The 23,007-nt window shown below is 44.9% G+C and overlaps 1 long non-coding RNA gene across 1 annotated transcript in view, besides 1 other annotated feature; it reads left to right on the plus strand.

The window, feature by feature from the left end:
• Positions 2,392 to 3,281: an enhancer, noted in NCBI's record as "H3K4me1 hESC enhancer chr11:45011181-45012070 (GRCh37/hg19 assembly coordinates)". NCBI's record gives its function as "activates a minimal SCP1, AML or CMV promoter by ChIP-STARR-seq in naive H9 embryonic stem cells {active_cell/tissue: H9 hESC(naive)}" and the evidence as "EXISTENCE:reporter gene assay evidence [ECO:0000049][PMID:30033119]".
• The window catches only part of LOC105376650 (uncharacterized), a 35,979-nt gene continuing 33,808 nt past the window's right edge, over positions 20,837 to 23,007 (plus strand). Inside the window, exon 1 of the long non-coding RNA XR_931237.3 lies at positions 20,837 to 21,316. This is a non-coding gene — a long non-coding RNA (uncharacterized LOC105376650). The remainder of the gene's footprint in view (positions 21,317 to 23,007) is intronic.

The raw sequence follows: 23,007 nt of genomic DNA on the forward strand, positions 1-23,007 counted from the left end.
CTCTCTTCCTCTCTCTCTCTCTCTCTCTCTCTCTGTCTTTTCTGTCTTTCTTATAACAGCACTAGTCCCATTCCTGGAGACTCTACCCTCATGACCTAATCACCTCCCAAAGGTTCCACCCCCAAATATCATAGCATTAGGGACGAGGGCTTCAACATTGGAATCTGGGGGGACACAAACATATTTAGCCAATAGCAAATCCCTACTCCCCACCCTAGCTGTCCTCTCCAACTCCACCCAGCCAGGATGGGAAGTACCTGGCAATTGTGCTACTCCCTGGGCCTGCAAACGCTTGGCTCCCGTTGCTAATCACACTCAGATGCAACCTGAGTCTTCTCAACACGGCACTCTAGGAGCTGCTCCAATCACTGGGAATTGGCATGGAAGATGACACCCCTGCCATCCTGCTCCTTCCACCGAGGCAGCCCTGCAGATGAGAGAGTTTCCAAACCCACCCGCCTGCAGGGTTGTTTCCAGTCCAACCAGACCAAAGGCCTCTCACGGCCCTCAAACCGCCTGAGCCCCTGCCCCTGGCTGCCTGTGTCGGAGCCGCCTGCTGTGGAAGCCACCTTCCCACACAGTTCAGTCTTCATCATGCCTCGCTTCCCAAATGCCATACTCCACCCCAATCTCCAAAAATGGGTTCAGCCTCTTCCCCAAGTCTGGAGCGCCCTTCTTGGTCTTTTCTGTGTATCCAGATCTCCAACCTTGGAGGGCGCCTTTACATGCAGCCGAGGTTGAACCACTGCTAGGTGATCTAAGAGAACTTTCCACACACACCCTCAGTTTGTACCACAGTCAGACCTTCCTGCGAAGTGCTTTTATGGGTTTGTTTATTCATTGACCACGCTTACTAAGGGGCCACATGTTGATCAGAGTATTTACCTGGGGCCAGGTGCCACGCTGAGACTTACTCACTTCATCCCATTAAATCTTCATGACATTCCTATAAAGTAGGTATTCTTATAAGCCTGGTTTTTGGGAAATGGAGGCTAAAAGCTTGATGGGCTTATCAAAGTTGCCTAACTGGTCAGCAGCAACCCCAAGATTTGAGTCCCAGCCTGACCCCAGAGCTGGCATGGGTGGCCCCATCTCTGCACAGCCACACCCTCATGGGTATAGCTCCCCATTCTCTTCACCTGTTGTGTCCCATGCACCCTTCAGACTTCAGCTTGGCAGGGAAGGGGGCCCTCTCTGACCTGAGTCCCAGACACACTTTCACTGAGAGAGCACTTGTCACTGTGGCCATTTTTATTTATTCGTGTCATTATTTGAGTCACGGCTGTCTCTTTCTGCCCCCTCCACAGACCATAAGTTCCACGGAGGCTGGATTATGTCTGCTTTTTACTGCCTTTCTCAGGGTTCTTTAGCAGAATGCCTGGCACATGTTTGTTGGATGGATGGATGGACGATGGATAAGAAAAGAAGGAAGAAAAAAAGAAGGAAGGAGGGAAGGGAAGGGAAGGGAAGGGAAGGGAAAGGAAGGGAAGGGGAAAAGAAGGAAGGAAGCAGATTCTAGATACAAATTCCAGCTTCCCAGCCAGCCAGCCACAACTTTAAAGACAGAGACCCATTTCTACTTCTCTAAGCAGCAGGGATCTCAAGCAAAGGACAGAAGCTACAGAGGCAACTTTGCTTCCTGGCTATGTGACCTTAGGCAAATGCTCCAGCTCTCTGAGCCTCACCTGCAAAATGGAGATGGTAGTACTCACTTATAGGAAGGTAGTGAGGATTAAATGGAAGCAGGAGGAGGAGCTCCCTGTAAACAGCAAGAACTTGCCCACAGTGAGTTATGATTATGCTTCCAGATTTCCCTGAGCCTGGTGCCTCTCACAGGGGCTCCATCAACAGTAGCCATCTCTCCCCACCCCCCGCACACTGTGTGCCATTAGCTTATTAGCCTTGGTAGTGAGGGCAGCCTGTGCAAATCCAGGGGAGAAGCAATCTAGGAGTGGGCTTGTGAGTGGGCTCCCCCCATGGGCTCGTTTTTCCCAGACCTTCCCGAGGGCTGCTAAGACTCTGATGAGAAGATGGTAAAGGAGTAGAGTGGAGCATGGGTTCTGAGCACTGCGGTTGAACTGGGAGGTGCAGGGATGAGATCGTCAGAGGCAATGTGTCCAGTAAAGCCCTCTCTCCTGCCACCCTCCTGTTAGTACCTGGCTCACCTTCTGCCTGACTGGGCATGGCACTGATTCTTATCAGCAACCAATTGTCAGGACCCCAGGTCAGAGGCCCAGTGCTAAGTAACCAGTCAGCTTTGGGACCCTGAGTTTGTTTAGGGGACCTCCCTCAGCCTCAGATCAATGCATGAAGGATGATGACCTCTAGGGCAGGGGTCTTGAACTTCCTTTCCAGGTCAGGACCAGCCCTCCTCACTTCTCCCATCATCCAAGGACAGGTAGCTTTGCTGATAGATCCTTCCAGGAGCTCTCCGGAGCCTTGGTTTTCTCATCTGTAAAATGGGATAAGGCCCAGCTCACAGGCTGACCTGTGCACCCAGTGAGTTCTTCTAGGAAAGAGCATGATACACAGGAAGGGGAAGTGCCTGTACCCAGGCTCTTGCCCTCCTTTGGTTCCCAGGTAACCCTCAAGCCCGCATCCCTGGAGCAGCAGACCCAGGTGAGAGGTCAACGCCGGCAACCCCGGGCCTCTCCTTTCCTGCGAGGCCCAGCCTTCAGCAAAGGCTGTGAAGCTGACTGCAGTTGCCTCGGCAGCAGCCTGGTGCTGAGGTCAACACTGTCATCTTGCTGGAGTATGGGAGTCGGTGCAAACATGGCTTCTCGTCAGCCAGGAAGACGCCCAGCCTGGCACAACCTTCGGTTCTGACTCCCATCACCTCCTGTTGACAGCGTCTGGCTGGCATCCTAATCGCTCATTGGACAAATTGCCAGGGCAGCGGTAGACAGCTGGCATGTGTTAACTCGCTCAGTCCTCACAGCGATCCCATGGGGAAGGCGGTTATCATCCCCGTTATTGTACGGCCAGAGAAACAGTGGCACAGAGGAGTGAAGTGGCCTCAGGATTGGCACTGAGGCAGCCCTGGCTCTGGGGGTTGAGGCCCTCAACACTGCTCTAGATCAGAGGTCTCATAGGATTTGTCTGTTAAAACCCCAGCTGCGGGGCCCACCCCCTGTGCTTCGGATCCAGTAGGGCTGAGACTCATAGGGCTGGGGCCTCACTGCTCAGAGAGTGGGGAGCTGCAGCACCCAGTGCTGGTCGGAAATGCAGACTCCCAGGCCCCACCCTGGTCCTCTCAATTGGAATTCAATTAGAATTCACATTTTAGCAAAATCCCAGGCAATTTGTGAGCCCACTACAGCTTACAAAGCTGACTCTAAACCACCGCATGGACAAGGACCCGTTACTTCTGGGGCTTACATACCTGTGTGGGAGGCAGAAACAAATATATGAGATCATCTCAGAGGGCAACGTGTTCTATGAAGGGATAAAACAGAGCCACGAGGAGTCAGGCACTGGGGGTGGTCTGTGCTGTTTTAGGAAGAATGGTCAGGGGAAGCCTCTCTGAGCTGGTGACACTGGAACTGAGGCCTGAGGGAAGAGGAGAGGCCAGCACTTCACAATCAGAGGAAGAGCGCTTACAGCCTGGGAGGGGCACTGAGCTGCCACCCCCAAACAAGCGAGGGACTCAGACACAGACATGGTGCAAGCTGGCAAGATGGGTGCACTGAAGACAGATGTAGAGGAAATGCTGAGGGCCGGAGGGATGGCTGGGCCTCAGGGTCAGGCACCAGAGATTCAGATGCAGATGAAACCCAGGCCCCACACCATAGGGAGATTAAGTTAGGAATACAAAATTGATAAAACAACGCAGAAGGTGCCAAGTCAGGGAGGGACAGAGATAAGATTTATGGAAACTTGATGTCCCCTGAGTGATTGGACCACTTGGTGCCCGGCACAGTGCTGTGAGCTTTCTCTCTCTGTCTCACACAGGCACACAATGCACACACACACACACATGGCTGTCACACAACACACACACACACACTTATCACACAATGATTAAGAGCAGGGGCACAGGCATGGTGGCTCACATCTGTAAGTCTCCCAACACTTTGGGAAGTCGAGGTGGGCAGATCACTTAAGGTCGGGAGTTTAAGATCAGCCTAGCCAACAAGGCAAAACCCCGTCTCTACTAAAAATACAAAAATTAGCCGGGCGTGTTGGTGGGCACCTGCAATCCCAGCTACTCGGGAGGCTGAGGCAGGAGAATCCCTTGAACCCGGGAGGTGGAGATTGCAGTGAGCCGAGATGGGAGATTATGCCACTACACTCCAGCCTGGATGACAGAGTGAGACTCTGTCTCAAGTGAAAAAAAAAAAAAAGAAAGAAAGAAAAGAAATAAAAGCAGGGACCTGGAGCCAGGCTGCCCTCCACACAGTCCCAGTCCCATCTTGACTACTGATTAGGTCCTTGTGCCTGTTCCTTCACTTCCCTGTACCTTGGTTCCCTCTTCACAGATGGGAAATAAGAACACCAGCCTAATGGGGTTGATGTGAGGATTAGGTATTTGTAAAGCCTTTCAAACAGTACTTGGCATCTAGCAAGTACTATGTGAATATCAGCCACTGTGATTCTTTTATCCTCTGACCCTATGATTCACTGAGACAGGTAGATTAGCATTCTCATTTTGCAAACAGAGAAAATGAGGCTCAGAGAGGTCCAGCAGTTTCCCAAACTGGAATATCTGTCTGCCTGACACCAAGCTTGGAGGGAGCCTCCAAATGGTAGGGAATACCACCATTTGGCCTTGAACACAAAGGCCGCTAATGGAGGAAATATGGCTGGACCAGGTCAAAGAGGGCTCAAGGCTGGGAGCTTTAGGATTGGTTTTGTGAGAACCATAGAAAGTGAGAGCCATAGAAATCTCTAGCCCCAACCACCATATTCCAAGCCACCATGGGAGCCACTGGGCATCTACAGACAAATGTGACCTCATTTCCAAAGGCCATACTCATTCCCACTTTAGAAGGTCTGGCATTGGCCTTGGTTCTCAGCTGGGCCTTAAGCCACATGACCCAGAATTAGGTCACATCCTGTGGCCAGAGCTTATTTCTCAAGGAAAGTGGGACCCAGCAACACAGCAAACCCAAAGGCAAGCGGTGCCTACTGAGTGGCAACAGCTGTGGGGTTCAAGGTCTTTAGCCTGTGCTGCAGATCTCCACGGAGGCCCTGCCAATGGTAATGTTCTCTTCCCTGGCTGGCTGTCAAGGAAAGCCAGAGAGATCTATCTTCGGCCCTCAGCCAGCTGGAATGGGCACTGCCAAGGAAACTGGCACTGTTTTGGGAGACAGCTGGCCCTCTGGGGCCAGGAAGAAGCATGTTCACAGGTAGGGGCAAGCCAGGAGGCTGTCCCCAGCCTCAAGATGCGAAGAAGGGTTTGCACCTCAGCCTTGGCACCTACTTGTTACAGGACCTTGTGGATGTCACTTCCCCATCTGGGGCCTTGATTTCTCATCTGTAAAATAGGGTTGGTGGTAATTTACACTTTTGCTGGTCTGTGTGTTGTTTGCTTGTGTTTGTCAAATTAATTGTGCACTTGTTTACTTCCTGTGTTCACACTGGTCTGCACATTTCCTGAGGACTAGAAACACACGTGTCATGCCGTTCAGCACACAGTTTTTGATTGATTAAGTGACTATTGCAAAGATCAAATGAGATGGGGAATGAGAAAGCACTTAGCAAAATATGAAATGCAAAAGATACCTACAATAGTATCAGGCTCTTATCTCACCATGACATGACCCAGCCTCAGCACATGAAAGCATCACTCCAGGTGGTGACAAGGATGAGAAAACACAGATAGGAATGATCAACATTGAAAAGGCAGGCAAAAATAATAACAATTTGCTGATGGTACGATTTTCTACCTTGAAAAATTCAAACTCTGCTGGGGAAACATGAGCGGCTCTAGTAAGAAAGTTTGGTAAAATAACTGGATAGAAGAACTAGGTAAAAATTAATTGTTTTCCCATTTAGTTACTATTTTTAATTTCAAGATGTTATTTAAAAAAAGATCTCGCTCATAATAGCAGCAACAAGCTGAAAAAGTCTAGGAAATATACTTAACAAGAAGTGTTGCAAGTGCTATAAGGAGAAATCTTTAACACTTCATTCCAGGAGGGGGGAAAGAATATGTGAATAAATAGAGACACATTCAGTTTCTAGAAAGGAAGTCCCAATTGTAAAGATGTCAATTCTCCCTAACAGAATTAATACATATAACGTAATTCCAGGGAAAATAGCAGTGGGAGCATGAAGTTTATTTGGAAGAGTCCTTGCTTAAGAATAGCGAAGACAATTTGGGACAAGAATAATAATGAAATAGTGATAAAGAGATCTTACCTAACTTGCTAACCAAAACATAGGATGAAATGACAGTCATTAAAACTGTGTGGGTTTTGCATGAGAATTCCTGCTCTTAGGACTCAATGGATTATTCGTAGACATTCAGTGATGCGACCTTCCTGTGGGGCATGGTGGAGCCTCAGCTCGGTAGAGTGTAAACCCTGTTTTGCAGGGGTCTGGTTCAATTCTTACCTCCCCGGCTCCTAGCAGTGAGACCTCAAGTAACCTATGTAACTTCTCTAGGTTCTGTTCAGCGAAATGGATATTATAACAGTACTGGAGTTGATGAGGGAATTAAACGAGCCGGAGTATAAGTGGCACTTAGCATGGTGCCTGTGGTAAACTCTCAACAGATGATTATTTTATTCACTAAAAACAATAATAAATAAGTAAATTGTTAATTGGCTTATGGGCCAAGGAAAAGCCAGTTGCATTTTTTCAGTTATTGGTTGATAAAATCTTGGCACAATTTCCCAATTTGAGTCCTTGCTGGGCAAGCTCTGAGCAGATGGGAGGTGGAACATCTGCGTATTGAACTTGGATTCATTTCCTCTGCCCTCAGCTCACCTTCCAGGTGGTTCTGTGGGTTCACTGTGGTTGTTCTTTCTGATCGTGGTTCAGAAGACCAGCCTCCTGGCCATCCTCACAGGCCAGACTTGCTGAAGCCAGGATTAGACAAGCAAGAGCTGTCCAAACTTTATCCTGTAGGGGAAGGGCCGCTGTTCTGCACTGTATTTTTTCCATGGGTCCTTCCATGCCTACGATGCACTCCCTATCCCACAGGGCTGAGTTCAGTACAGAGTGGGGAGTTCCCTTCCACTCCCCTCCCCACCTACCCTAAGCCTTCTGGCACGCACTGGGCTCCCAGCTGGGAGAGAACAATATTTTCCCAAACACAATCTGTATGTGATCTGGGGTAAAGCTCCCTGGGGTGACCTTGGGACAGTTTGCAAGGAAATAAGCAGAGAGCACAGTGAAATGCTCAGTGTCCTGTGAGCACAGTGGGCACCACATGCAGGTCGCTGTTGGGGCTGTCATCACAACCGTCCCCTCCGATGGGAGAGACGGCAGCCCCTAGAGAATGGGCTGTGCGGGAAGAGAGGGATTGTTCTGAAGGGGAGGCAGATGGAGTAGGAAGACCACTAGATGAGGAGTCATGAAGCCCAGGTTTGAGCCACTTAGCCTCTTAGGAGAGGAGGTAACTGCAGGGCGGGTGAGCTTCTCCCACCAGGCTGTCTTTTCCTGAAGGGAAAGACCAGTGTCCTATTTGTGTCCCCAGGCCCACTAGGGTGCAGTGTAAGTCCTGGAGGTGCCCTAGCATTGAGAAGGTTGAGGGCAGGGGGCCACGTGGGCCTGGGCAGAGTGGAGTCCATGTGACGGTTGACCTTTCAGAGGGCACTGATGGTGCTCCCATGGCCCCACCCTCTAGCTGACATTCATCCCTGGTCATAGACACTGTAGGCACAAGTTTCTGGATATCATGGAGACAGGACTTCGACGCTGACCAGGGCTAAGCATCCATCTGATTGGAGTCAATGCCCATCTGGGGCCTATCAAAGAAGTCGTGGGCTATCACTCTGTGATTTTTTTCCCTTACCAGTAACCAGTTCAAACTCCCATTTTTTCCTTCTTTGTAAATGACACTATCATCTCCCAAATTCCTTAGGCTGCAAACATTGATATTTTCCTAGAGTTTCCTCCCTTTCCTTCAGCATCCACATCAAATTCATCAACAAACCTTGCCAATGCCATCACCAATTACTGTCTCAGAGATCCATGTCTCTATCTCGGTTGCTGAGAACTTAGCCCAAGCCATCCCAGGGCAGGATAGTGCCCAGAGCCCCCAGCTGGGGATCTCTACCTCATTCCAGAGTCCAGCATAAGGAAGCCTGTGTTCTCAAAAGAATAAGCTGCATGTTCTATTATCAGTTTTTTTAAAAAATTTCATTTTATTTTAGATTCAGGGGGTACATGCACATATTTGTTATATGGGTATATTGTATATTGGTGGGGATTGAGCTTTTAGGGTACCCATTACCCAAATAGTGAACATTACATCTGATGGGTAATTTTCCAATACGATTATCAGTTTTATCAGTAATAATAGTAACAGTTTTGTCTTATTTCTTAATTGGTTCAGAATTTAGGGAAGAGAGGAGTTGTTCATTGAGCCCCTTCAAAAATACCAACCCTAACACCTTGATAGCACTTTATAGGTCAAAGAGTATTCCTATTTATAATTTCCTGGAATCCTTCTTTCAGTTATGCAACGTAAAGATTATTATTATCCTCACTTTACTAATAAAAAAGTTAAGACTGAAAATTGTGAAGTGACTTGTTCAAGGTCACACAGAGTCAAGCATAGAATCCAGGTTTCACAAAAATTTGCTACCATGGCTTCTTCCTTTTGGCTTAAGTCTTGGACTCCTATTAAAATACAGTTTTATAATTATATAACTGCATTAATTAAGACGTCATGGTACTGATGGAGGGAGAGGCACTTAGATCAATGAAAGACTCATTTATCGGGGGAAGAGGAGGGTAGCATAAGGAAGTTTCTTTGCTTATGCCCATCCTTACACTTCACAGAAATATATATTCTCTCTCCAAATGAGCATGTAAAATATGGTGAAATCCAGCTGGGCATGGTGGCTCATGCCTGTAATCCCAGGACTTTGGGAGGCTGAGGTGGGTGGATCATGAGGTCAGGAGGTCGAGACCAACCTGGCCAATAGGGTGAAACCCCATCTCTACTAAAATTACAAAAATTAGCCAGGCGTGGTGGCAGGCCCCTGTGGTCCCAGCTACTCGGGAGGCTGAGGCAGAAGAATCACATGAACCCAGGAGGTGGAGGTTGCAGTGAGCTGAGATCGTGCCACTGCACTCCAGCCTGGGCAACAGAGCAAGACTCCATCTCAAAAAAAAGAAAAAAAAAAAAAAGAACCTTAGAATGGAAACTTAAATGTAAAATGGCAGTGATGATTATGTAATTACCTCCCTCATAGAGTTATGAAGACAAATTAATAAATATGTTTTTAAAAATGGTGAAATCCAAATAAGGTCTGTAGTTTAGTTGACAGTATTGTACCAATGTCATTTTCCTGATTTTGAGACTATACTATGGCTGTGCAAGATATAGCTGGATGCAGGGTACATGGGAGCTCTCTATGCTAATGTTGCAACTTCTTGCAAGTCTTTATTTCAAAATAAAAATGTTTTTAAATGCAGATCCCACGAGGCAATAGATATGTACTTTAATTCTGAGATGGCAAATGAATTTCAACTCCCATCCCAATTGTAGTCAACTGACAGGGGTTCTCTGGTCCACAATTCATAGTGTTAAGAAGTCTGAAGCCACATATGGGCCCAGTGGTAACGAGCACCTTCACTAATGAGTGATGCCTGCTGTGGACTCTGGGAATGGGATGGGGAGCATGGGGCAGGTTCACGCCATCTGTGCACGCAATCCCTAACAGCTCAGTGTGAACCAAGGTGCTGAGACTAGGGAGACACTGGCCTGAGACAGAGGGGAGAGGAGGGAGGGGGCAAAAGAGGGAAGCAGGTGCTCTGTGCAATCCTGTTTATGTCAAGTTCAAGAATGGGCAATGTGAAACAGTGGTAGCTTTTAGTGGTGGGAATTGATTGGTAGGCAGCATGGGAGTGATGGAAAAGTGTTCTCTATCTCTATCTTGGAGTGTTGGTCATGCCAGTGTGAACATTTGTTAAAAGTTATTGGGCTGTATTTTAAGATCTGTGCATTTTATTACATATAAATTATACCTCAACAATAAAAAAAGAGGGAGGCAAGGCAGATCTCTGAAAAGAAAATCATTTCCACAAGTAAAACGTACCCTGGAACTTCCAAGGCTATCATGGGAGGAATTCCTCCTAGTGGACAACGGGTGGTAGACCAGATGCTCAGACAGGCCTATGTTACCCCCCATCCCTTGGTGATGGGGCTGTTTGGGGCAAATTCCCAGCCCAGCCACTTCCTAGCTGGGTGGCCTTGGACAACTTGCTGAATCTTTCTGCTTCCATTTCCTCAGCTGTAAAATGGGGGTAGAAATAGCGCCTGCCTCACAGGGTACTTGCATGAATTAAAGGAGTTAATCCGGTGAAGAGCTTAAAATAGTGCGGTCTGGTGCACAGCACCTGCTCCATGTATCTGAGCCACTATTGTGATTGTGGTTATTTTTATTATTGTTCCCATTTTGATTCCTATCACTAACAGCTGCTGTTCCTCTTTAAGGCTGTGGCACGAGGGTGAACACAAATTCTTCCTCGGACATAGCTGAGACTCACTGGATATCCAAAGAGATCAAACCCTTCAGGAAGACAACAGTGAAAGACACACTCTCTGTCCACTGCAAGGTAGAGCCTGGCCCCCATGGAGTAAGCTCTGCCCTGGATCCCGTCCCTTCCAATCTGCCCTTTGGGAGCCTGCAGCCCCACTCTTAGACTTACTGTGTGCTAGTGCTGGGCTGCTCTCAGTACAGAGTTGCCATCTGGGCACTCACTGCCTCCTAAGTATTTCATATCTTGAGCAAGATAAGAGAGCTCCTACGGCCTCTGCTCCTGCCTCCCAGTTCCTGGTCTGGGAGCCATGTACTTGCCTTGATCACTAGCCCCAGAAATGATCTCACTCCTTAGGCGAGGCCTTGACTTCTCCCTACTGTGAGGGCTCAGTCCCCCAGACAGGGCTGGTGTATAAAACAGCATGGCAGAGGGGAGGAGTTGCTGTTTCTTTCCAAACACCCACTTTGTACTGCTCTGAGAACAATCAATAAACTTCTATTATCTTAAGCTGTGGATGTTTGGAGTTTTGTTACAGCAGCTAGTATTTCCTTGAAGAATACACACACGAAGAGACAGAGAGGAAAGGGAGAAGGATGTTTCAGATAAAACCACATGTGCAAAAGCCCTAGGGAGAGACAGAGGAAGAGTGATGCCAGGTGAGGCTGGAGGTAAACTGAGGCAGCTCAGGGGGCTCTTTCAGCTGTGCTAAGCACAGTTGGGACTCCATCCTAAGGAAACAGGGTGTACACAGGCCAGACACTCCCAGACATGCCCCTCTGTACCCTAAGGCTCAGAGGAGACAGGTAACTTGCTGAATGGAGGTCACTTGATCAGTGAAGGCAGAGTTGGACCCTCCCCCCGACTCCAAGGCTCCCTGCCTCCATGTCCCTAAGCGCTCAGCTCTATACTTCAAACAGAATATTCTACAACAGAGAAACAAGGACATCCGTCTCCCAAGAGTTCCATGAGATTCCTGACTATGTGGGCCCCTTCTCCAATATTCTGGGACTGGCCCCCAACAGGAGTGCTGTCTCCTGGCACCAGGCCCAGGCCAGCTCACAAAATGATGTCCCTTCCTCCCCCGCGCACCCCTCCCCCAACGAGCAACAGTGGCCCTCAGCATTCCCCACCCTGACTGAGGCTTTGCATCCTCAGGAAAACCAAATGAATATCCACCCTGGTGTAGTCCTCTTTCCTGGGGGATCCCAAAGAAGCTCATCACCCAATAGGTGAGGTTGACCACTTTGACCAGCTCCCACCTGTGGTCTGGTCCACAAATAGGGCACAGTAGGTAGCAGAGGTTGGCCAGAGTTACTCACTCCTCTCTGCAGCTTTCTGGGTAGAGTGAGCAATGTGGCAGGGTTGCAGACAATGCCCAGCTCCCCATCTGGACATCCTCAGCGGAGCTAAAAGCAGACATCACTGTGTCCCCTGGGCTACCACTATTAACTAAGTGCACCCTTGCTAAACCACTAGGCAGAAATTCTTGGGGTTTTTTTTTTTTTTTGGTTTGTTTAGAGACAGAGTCTTGCTCTGTTGCCCAGGCGTGATCATAGCTCACTGTAACCTCGACCTCCTGGGCTTAAGTGATCCTTCCACCTCAGTCTCCTGAGTAGTTAGGACTATAGACATGCACCACCACACCCAGCTATTTTTTTTTTAATTTTTTGTAGAGATGGGGTCTCACCTGTGTTGCCCAGGCTGGTCTCGAACTCCTGGCCTCAAGTGATCCTCCCACTCCAGCCTCCCAAAATGCTAGGATTACAGACATGAGCCAACATGCCTGGCCTAGGCAGTGATATATGATGTGGGCAGGAAAGGCTAGGAGTTGGGCTAAGATCCCCATTTCTCTGCCACCCCTCTTCAACATGTTTGCCCCCGTTTCTGAAACTGGGGTGTTTTGGATCACCTCTGTTCAAGGCTTTCCTTGGTTTTGGGGAGTTCACTGGATGATGCCCAGGGGCAGAGCTTCTAGTACTCTGCCCACCTCCTTCCCTGACCCTATCCAGAACAAAGTCCTCTTTTATCATACTCAACTTTCCCATAAGATAGCATTTGAAGAAAGGATTTTACTACTAAAACAATAGTACAAAAACAATCTCCCCTTGGCTCAGCTCACTCCCTGACCTCCTGCAGGTCACCCCATCAATTGAAAGAAGCCATGTGATATGGTTTGGCTCCGTGACCCCACCCAAATCTAATCTTGAATTGTAATCCCCATGTGTGGAGGGAGAGATCTGGGTGGGAGGTGAATGGCTCATGGGGGCAGCTTCCCCCATGCTGTTCTCATGACAATGAGGGAGTTCTCACAAGATCTGATGGTTTGAAATTCAAGTCCAACCCTCCAATTTTCTAGATGGAGACCCTGAATTTCAGAAAAAGGAAATGAGTTTCTTGAAAACATACATATAGGTTACAGAAAATGAGCTGCTTTCCTATTCATGTCTGTCATTATCCATCCATTCATCCACACAACCACCCAACTACCTATCCAGCCAGCCAGCCAGCCAGCCACCCATCCATCTATCCATCTATCCATCTGTCCATCCATCCATCCACCCACCCATCCATCCACCGAGGCAACTTTTACCGCAGGCTTAGATATTCTGGCCTTCTAACCTTGCAGCCAAGGTCATTGCATCTAAAGCTCTCAGCCTTCTTAGCATCATGGAAGAGAAAAGCCTGGGTTTCTACATAGATTTAGGCTTCAGCTCCTTTTCTGTCACCTTCCAGCAATGAGCTTAATTTCACTTTTTTCAGCTAGAAAATGGATCAGCACTTTCTACCTTCGGATTACTGTGGGGAGTTATCGAGGTCATGAACACGATCCTTGACCTAGTGCCTAGAATGCATGGGACCTTCATGCCTGCTCCACGTCTGAATGAGTTTTCCAAGTGCCCCATACTTGGGCATGAGTGGGGAGACCGGGGCTGTTCTTATCCAGAGGTGTTCAGGGCCACCAGGGAAGGATGTTTCTCTGCTCCCCTTGCAGAAAGCCTGGCCCTAGTCCTTCCTAGGTTGTGACCTAATTTTGGTCTGGCCAGAAGTGGCATCTTCCTTTATCCCTCATTGTCTTGAAGACCTTGAGTGAACTTGGCCAGGACGATTTCTGCAGGAGTAACACATCCAGCCAGCTGGGCATGGTGTGCACCTCCTGTCCCCACCCTGTCTCACACACTTTCCCTGAGTGGTGCCCGCAGCTTCTGCGGTACCGCCTCCCAGATCTCCCCATGGCTCAGCTCACTCCCTGACCTCCTGCAGGTCACCCCATCAATTGTCACCTCCTGAGAGAAGCATGTGATATGTCTTGGCTCTGTGTCCCCACCCAAAGCTCATTTTGAATTATAATCCCCATGTGTCAAGGGAGGGACCTGGTGGGAGGTGATTGGATCATGGGGGTGATTTCCCCCATGCTGTTCTCATGACAGTGAGGGAGTTCTCACGAGATCTGATGATTTAAACATGGCAGTTTCCCCTGTGCACACATTCTCTTTCTCTCTTTCTCTCTCACTCTCTCTCCTTCCACCTTGTAAAGAAGGTACTTGCTTCTCCTTTGCCTTCCACCATGATCGTTAAGTTTCCTGAGGCCTCCCCAGCCATGTGGAACTGTGAGTCAATTAAACCTCTTTCCTTTATAAATTACCCAGTCTCTGGTAGTATCTTTATAGCAGTGTGAAAATGGACTAAAATAGAAAAATGGACTAAAATACCAGGCCGAATGCTCTCTCTACCACTTTCTCTTTCCATAACTTATTTTTTATTACGTCATTGGAAATTAGATGACATTCATTGTTCCCTTGTTTATCACCTGCCTCATCACACTGGGGCGTAAGTTCCATTACTTTGTTCATTGCTGTATCCCCAGCCCCGTCTCTTGGTTGGTGCTTAGAAAGATTTGTCTAAGGAGTATATTGGTGAGAAATTGGGAAATTCTAAACTTTCTAGCCCTAAAATTAGCCATATTCACTGAAATCACTCACCCTTACCCCACAGGGTATCTATGGCTGCCTGGGTTGAGGTGGTGATGACACAGACCAGGTTCTGGACAGAGCATTTGAACTTCTCCCAAAGGGGCAGTGGAAAAAGTCCAACTTACCCAGCGGTGTGTGAGGGACTGTGCATGGCTCATACCTTCTCTCAAGAGCAGGCAGATAAGTGACTGAATGCCAGAAGCTTGAGAAGCTGGTCTTAAGTTCAAATCCTGACTCTACCACTTTCTAGAAGTCACTTAGCCTCTCTGAGCCTCAGTTCCTTTTGGACAACAGAGTGGATGATTCTTGCCTCACAGAGATGTTCATCTCAAAAGCTACACTTCACTGTTATTTGAGCACTGGGATCCAATGGTGAGCATGCCAGACACAAATCTTGTCGATTGGAGTGAGTGAGTTGTGTGACCTTAAACAAGTTACACAACCTTGGGGTGCATCAGTTTCCCCATTTGTAAGATTTGTAAAGCTTTCATGAGTTAATGCACGTTAACTCTTTGGATCTGTGCCTGGCACTAATAATGCTCAGTGGTTTTATTTTTATATTTCTTCTTTGAAAATTAATGTACATTTTACATACAGTAAATTTACACTTAATTGCATATATTATATAAAGTAAGAATTGTATACAAATCTTAAATATATAGTAAGAAGAGTTTTGACAGGTGAGGTATATGTAAATATATATATATGTATAAATTCTAGGCTAGGTGCGGTGGCTCATGCCTGTAATCCCAGCATTTTGGGAGGCCAAGGCAGGTGGATCACCTGAGGTTAGGAGTTCGAGACAGCCTGGCCAACATGGTGAAACCATGTCTCAATCAAAAATACAAAAAATTATCCAGATGTGGTGGCAGCCGCCTGTAATCCCAGCTACTCGGGAGGCTGAGGCAGGAGAATCACTTGAACCTGGGAGGCGGAGGTTGCAGTGAGCCAGGGTCATGCCATGGCACTCCAGCCTGGGCAACAAGAGCAAAACTCTGTCTCAAAAAAAAAAAAATCTATATGTATGTATATATGTATGGGTATATACATATAATCTCCAACTAGATAATCCAAACCCCAAGCAGGACCTAGAACATTCTTATCGCTTCAGATGGATCCTTTATACCCCTTCCCAGTCAATTCCTGCCATCTCCCCTCCCCAACAGGCAACTACTGCACCATTCTAATGTCTGTCACTCTAGCTAAGTGTTGCCTATTCATGAGATTCATTTAAATGAATCAAACAGTACACAATCTTTTGTGTCTGGCTTCTTTTGCTCAGCCTAGTGTTGTTGCAGTTTATCCATTTTGTTGTGTGTATCAGTAGTTTATCCCTTGTTATTGCCGAGTGCTGTTCCATCATGTAGATATGCCGCAGTTTGTTTATCCATTTTCTTGTTGATGGATATTTGGATTGTGCACACTTCTGGGTAATTGGGAATAATGTGGCTATAAACATTCTTGTGTATGTCTGTCTCACTGTGGGCATGTTTCCATTTCTCTTGGATACCTAAAACAATTATTGGTCATAAGGTAAGTAGATGTTCAACTTTATGAGCAATGTTCAACTATAGTGCTTTGAAATTTCTTGAGACTTATTTTTTGGCCCAGCTCTTAGTCTGTCTTGCTGACTGTTCCACGTGTACTTGAAAATAAAAACGTGTATTTTGCAGTTCTAGAGTGTAGCATTTTACAAATGTCAATTGGCTTAAATTGAGTAATTGTGTTCCTCAAGTCTTCTATAAACTTACTGGTATTTTGTCTCTCAACGGCTGAGGAAGGAGTGTTAAATTTTCAACAATAATTATGATTTTCCCTATTTCTTCCTGTAGTTCACATATTTTGAAGCTCTGTTACTAAGCATCTACACATTTATGAGTATTATATCTTCTTATTTATTTATTTTTTTAAGGCAGAGTCTCGCTTTGTCTCCCAGGCTGGAGTGCAGTTGCATGATCTCGGTTCACTGCAACTTCTGCCTCCCAGGTTCAAGCCATTCTTGTGCCTCAGCCTCCCAAGTAGCTGGGATTACAGGCACATGCCACCACGCTCGGCTACAATTTTTGTATTTTTAGTAGAGACGGGGTTTCACCATGTTGGCCAGGCTTGTCTTGAGCTCCTGCCCTCAGGTGATTTGCTGGGATTACGGGATTACAGGCATGAGCCACCGTGCCTGGCCAAGAGTATTATATCTTTTTAATAATTGACAATTTCATCATTTAAAAACACCCTGCTTAATATTTCTTGCCTCATATTCTACTTTGTCAGGTCTTAATATAGCCACACCAGCTTTCTAATGCTTAATGTTTGCATACTTCATAATTTTATAGCCTTTTATTTTTAACTGATCTATGTTTGTATTTAAAATAGGTTTCCTGTGGACAGCGCATCACGCGTCTTGCTTTTTTTGCACATTCTGACAACCACTGCTTTTAACTGGGGTGTTGAGCACTATTTAATATAATTGTAATTTCTGATAAGTTGGGCATAAGTCTATCATCTTAATATTTGTCTTCTACTTGTAATAATCTGCTCTTTGTTTTATCTTTTCCCGCCTTCTTTTGAATTACTTCTTTTGAATTATTGGCCTTTAAGCTATGTATTTTTGCTCTGTTTATTTTAGAAGTGTCTCTAGGAACTAAAATATACATCTGTAATTACCAAATTCTACTTTGAATTAATATTATACCTTCACATATAATGTAATAATTTTAAAACACTCTACTTCCATTTTACCCTCTTTCAATCCTTGGATTGAAAAGTTAGCCAGGTGTGGTGGTGAGTGCCTGTAATCCCAGCAACTTGGGAGGCTGAGGCCTGAGAATTGTCAAATATTTGTCAATTTTTTGTCCAATATTTCACCTGTATATGTGACATAAAACCTAAAACATATCATTATATTATTTTTGCTTTTAACAGTCTGTTTTTATCACCTTCATTGAGGTCCACTTTACATAGCATAAAATCCAGCCACCGTATAAGTGTACAATTCAATGATTTTCAGTAAATTGATGGTGTTGTACAACCATTGCCACAATACAATTTTAGAAAATTTCTATCATCCCGAAAAGATACCTTGTGCCAATTTTCAATAACTTGTCATTGTCCTCTCTCCCAGCCTTGGGCAACCACTGCTATATTTTATGTGCCTATAGTTTGTCTTTTCTGAACAGCTCATGTAAAGTAGTCTTTCACATTTGGCTTTTTAAATTTAGCATAACGTTTTTGAGGTGCATCATATTGTAGCTTGTGTTATTAGCCTGCTCCTTTTTATTGCTGGGTGGTATTCCACTGTATGGATGTATTACATTTTGTTTATTAATTCACCAGTTGATGGGCATTTGTGTTGTTTTCACATTTTGGACATTATGCATAATGCTGTTATGAAAGTCCTGTAAAAATCTTTGTGTGTACATATGATTTATCTCTCTTGAGTAAATGCCCTTAGGAGTGAAATTGCTGGGTTATATTACAAATGTGTGTTTAACTCTTTAAGAAACTGCTAAACTGTTTTTCAAAATGACTAGAACATGTTACATTCGCACCTGCAGTGTATGATCAATTGCTTTTTAGAGTAAAGAGGAAAAAATAATCTTTTATATTTAAAAATATATACTTAGCTTTGATGGTGCTCTTTATTCCTTCTTGTAGATCTGAGTTTCTATCTATACAATTTCGCTTCAGCCTGAACATCTTATTATCTGAATCTGCTAGCAATAAATTCTGGTTTTATCCAAAAATATCTTTTTCTTTTCTTTTCTTTTCTTTCTTTCTTTTCTTTTCTTTTCTTTTCTTTCTTTCTTTCTTTCTTTCTTTCTTTCTTTCTTTCTTTCTTTCTTTCTTTCTTCCTTCTTTCTTTCTTTCTTTCTTTTTCTTTCTTTCTCTTTCTTTCTTTCCTTTTTTTTCTCGAGACAGGGTCTCATTCTGTCGCCCAGACTGGACTGCAGTGACATGGCTTCAGCTCACTGCAACCTCTACCTCCAGGGTTCAAGCAATTCTCAGGCCTCAGCCTCCCAAGCCACTGGGATTACAGGCACTCACCACCACACCTGGCTAATATTTGTATTTTTAGTAGAGACGGGGTTTCTCCATGTTACCCAGGGTGGGTGGTCTTGAACTCCTGGCCTCAAGTGATCTGCCCACCACGGCCTCCCAAAGTGCTGGGATCACAGGCATGAACCACTGTGCCCAGCTTGAAAATATCTTGATTTTACTTTTATTTTCGAGGGATAGTTCACTGGATGTAGAATTCGTGGTTGGCAGCTTTGGATTCTTCCAGCACTTTGAAGACATTTTCCATTGTTTGTTGACTTGCACTATTTCCAGTAAAAAGTTAGCCTTCATTCTTATTATTCTGTTCCTATATGTAATGCATGTTTGCGGGAACACTTTTAGGTTATTTCTATTTATCCTTGGTTTGTATCAATGTTACTGTAACATACCTCATCGTGATGTTTTTTGTGTTTATACTGTGTTCTCCTTTCCTTATCGGATCCAGTTCTACATCTGTATACTACCTGATGGTACACCACAGGTTGGTGCTTTGTTCATTTTTTTAAAATCTTTTTTCCCTCCATGTTTCAGTTTCAATTTATCTTGACCGATCTTTAAGTTTACTGATTCCCTTTCTACTGTTTATCCAATAAATTTTCAGTTATACTTTAATTTTCACCTCCAGAATTGCCATTTTATTTTTTAGAACTTTCACTGATAGTCTGAAATATCCCACCTTTTCATCCATTCTATTTCCCATAAATATCTTAATCTATTCATATATATTTAAAGTTTTTTTTCTAATTCTAATTGGGACATGTCTGCTTCTATTACTTGTGTATTGTCTTGATTGTGGGTCACATTTTTCCCATTGCTTCTCTTGTCTAGTGTTTAATTATATTATATTCTTGAGAGTGTGCATAAAGTAACAATTGAGTTTGGAGAGTAATTTTTATTTTTAGTTTTGTTTTTTAGAACACCTAAACCGTTTCTGCTGTCTGGTGGTTAGATTGAGAAGCTGATCACTCAGATTTCTCAGAGTGTAATTGAGCTGGTGATGAGAAACAGCTTAATTACATTGAGTTACCTGTGGTTAGCCAACCACCAGCATCCTCTGTCTTTCCAATCTTGTTAGTGTTTGGAGTAGAGGTGATTGGCTGCAGTTTCAGTTATTTTTGGTTCACACTTTAATTCAACTACTTCAGGGTCCTGCAACCCAATCACAGCGAGAATGCATGAGACCATGCAAGTTTTCCCTGCTCATGTATCTTTCCACCACCACTGCCTTCTAGAAAAAGATAAGCAGGACCGGTGGGGCTGCTAAATTGCTGAACCGAATGATCCATTCTTGCATCTAAGATTATCCATCTTGCTGGCCTGAGTGACTTCTCTTTGCATTCGGGACTCTTCCAGACCCGTTTGATCTGCCATCCCATACTCTGGTCCAAGCTGGAATAATTTTTCCTTGTCCTTGCAAAGTCTCTCCGTCTATGGTTGATGTGCCTTTGTCCACCCACGCAGAATGGCATCTCTTTAGTTGCGGAGCTGCCATAGCTCTTGTTTCTGGAATTCAGTTCATTGAGGCTTCTTTGATCCTACAGCTCTTCTCTAGCACCGTAAAAAGTCTGACTTTTATTTTGTATGAGTTTTTCTTGTTGTTACCACAGGAACAAAGGCCTTTTACACTTCTCTACATCTTAAACAGAAGTAGACATTTCTATAATTGTTAGCTATTATTATTAGTGAATACAGTCATTAATAAGATAAGCACACAAAAAATAAAACTGCAATGAAGATTAATGCTATTATGCAGAAGCACATGGTTCTCTGAGAATATTTTCTGGCAAAATGACCATTTTGCAGGTAAGGAAACTGAAATTAAGAAAAACTAAGTACTTCACCCAAGGTCACATTACTAGCAATGAGCAGTGTCAGGATTTAAACTATCACCCAATTCTAGAATCTTGACTTTTACCCATGGTGCTATAAAAACAAAAATTTATGTTTAATTTACTTGAAGTTCCAGACATATAAAAAGCATTTAATAAATGACATTATGTAAAAAATATCCTGCCTATGAGTTAGCAACCAGGAACACAGCGGATAGATAGTTCTCAACAAATATTTATCGAATGATGGAATGAATCTTCACCCCACAACACACACACACACACACACACACTCTCTCTCTCTCTCTCTCTCAACTTGCCTTGGCAGAAGAACCTAATATCTGAAGGGATTTCAGAATCTTCTGTCACATACATCGAGCCTGCTTTTGTGTCTTTGTTCCAGCTACCTCCTCCTTCTCTGGTTTGACAGCTAGTGGCTCTGGGGAATTAGACAATGGGATAGAAAGGGGAAATCTCAAAGTTCTAGAATGGCCTCATGTTCCCTGAAGCTTACTGGGTTTCTGGCTCCAAGATGACCCAGTGGCATCTCCACTACGTGCTGGAGACTGAGAGGCTCAGGACAGTGCCTGAAGTTCATTCACCCTCAGGCTACGTCTTCAGGGACTCTGATCTGCTACTAAAACCAAGCCCCAGGGAGTGAAGGTCCCTGCCATGTCATCCCTCTGATCTCCTCCCTGTGAGGGCAAAGAAAACTACTGGGTGTTGATCATCCAGCACCGGTAGAACCTGCAGTCAGCTCTTAGACTCCAGTATAATTGTGAAGTGTGCTGCAGCAAACAGGTCAGTTCAAATCCCAGCTTTACTTACTTCATGTTGTACAGTCTTGAGCAGTGTGCTTAACCACCCTGAACCTTAGTTTTCCATCTAAAACATGGGTATTAAAAATATAACCTCCCACATAAAGTAGTTGATTAACTGGGCAAATGCATGGTCTGGTTTAGCACAGTGCTTGGCACATAATAAACACTCAATAAAAAATAGCATTCTTATTAAGCTATTTGGATTATATATTACCAGCAGAAGGATCAGGATTTGAATCAAAGTCTATATGTTTTAACTGTTGTATTACTTTTCTCACCCAGTGAGCTTGTTAGCAAGACATATTTCAGATTTTAGCCTCCAAAGATGCTGATTCAGAGGATCTAGGGTGGGGTTCAGGAACCTGCATGTTGATATGCACTCCAGGTGATTCAGATGCAGTATCTAGGGCCATACTTTGACAAGCACCCTAGGCTTTTTCACTTCCCTGCTTGGGGCCAGGCACTGTACAGAGATACAGGTTTGGAGGAAGACCCTGGTCACATCTGGTCCTCAGCACATCATCTGTCTGCACTCTGCAGATACAGCAAAGAACAGCTGCCCTCCTTGGTACATTTAGGTGGTTCTGGGAGTCCCATGGGGGGACCACATCCCCAGCTGTTGGCATGAGACAACATAGGAAAGCTGGAGCCCCCAAAACCAGCCCACTCTTTTTTTTTTAAGGTGGTTTTTTTCTTTATTTTTAAAAGGAAATTTAAAATTTTTACTATTATTATTATTATACTTTAAGTTTTAGGATACATGTGCACAACATGCAGGTTTGTTACATATGTATACATGTGCCATGTTGGTATGCTGCACCCATTAACTCATCATTTAGCATTAAGTATATCTCCTAATGCTATCCCTCCCCCCTCCCTCCACCCCACAACAGTCCCCAGTATGTGATGTTCCCCTTCCTGTGTCCATGTGCTCTCATTGTTCAATTCCCACCTATGAGTGAGAACACGCAGTGTTTGGGTTTTTGTCCCTGCGATAGTTTGCTGAGAATGATGGTTTCCAGCTTCATCCATGTCTCTACAAAGGACATGAACTCATCATTTTTTATGGCTGCATAGTATTCCATGGTGTATATGTGCCACATTTTCTTAATCCAGTCTATCATTGTTGGACACTTGGGTTGGTTCCAAGTCTTTGCTATTTTGAATAGTGCCACAATAAACATACGTGTGCATGTGTCTTTATAGCAGCATGATTTATAATCCTTTGGGTATACACCCAGTAATGGGATGACTGGGTCAAATGGTATTTCTAATTCTAGATCTCTGAGGAATTGCCACACTGACTTCCACAATGGTTGAACTAGTTTACAGTCCCACCAACAGTGTAAAAGTGTTCCTATTTCTCCACATCCTCTCCAGCACCTGTTGTTTCCTGACTTTTTAATGATCACCATTCTAACTGGTGTGAGATGGTATCTCATTGTGGTTTTGATTTGCATTTCTCTGATGGCCAGTGATGATGAGCATTTTTTCATGTGTTTTTTGGGTGCATAAATGTCTTCTTTTGAGAAGTGTCTGTTCATATCCTTTGCCCACTTGTTGATGGGGTTGTTTGTTTTTTAAATTTGTTTGAGTTCATTGTAGATTCTGGATATTAGCCCTTTGTCAGATGAGTAGATTGCAAAAATTTTCTCCCATTCTGTAGGTTGC

This window comes from Homo sapiens, chromosome 11, assembly GCF_000001405.40.
Source record: "Homo sapiens chromosome 11, GRCh38.p14 Primary Assembly".
NCBI lineage: Eukaryota > Metazoa > Chordata > Mammalia > Primates > Hominidae > Homo > Homo sapiens.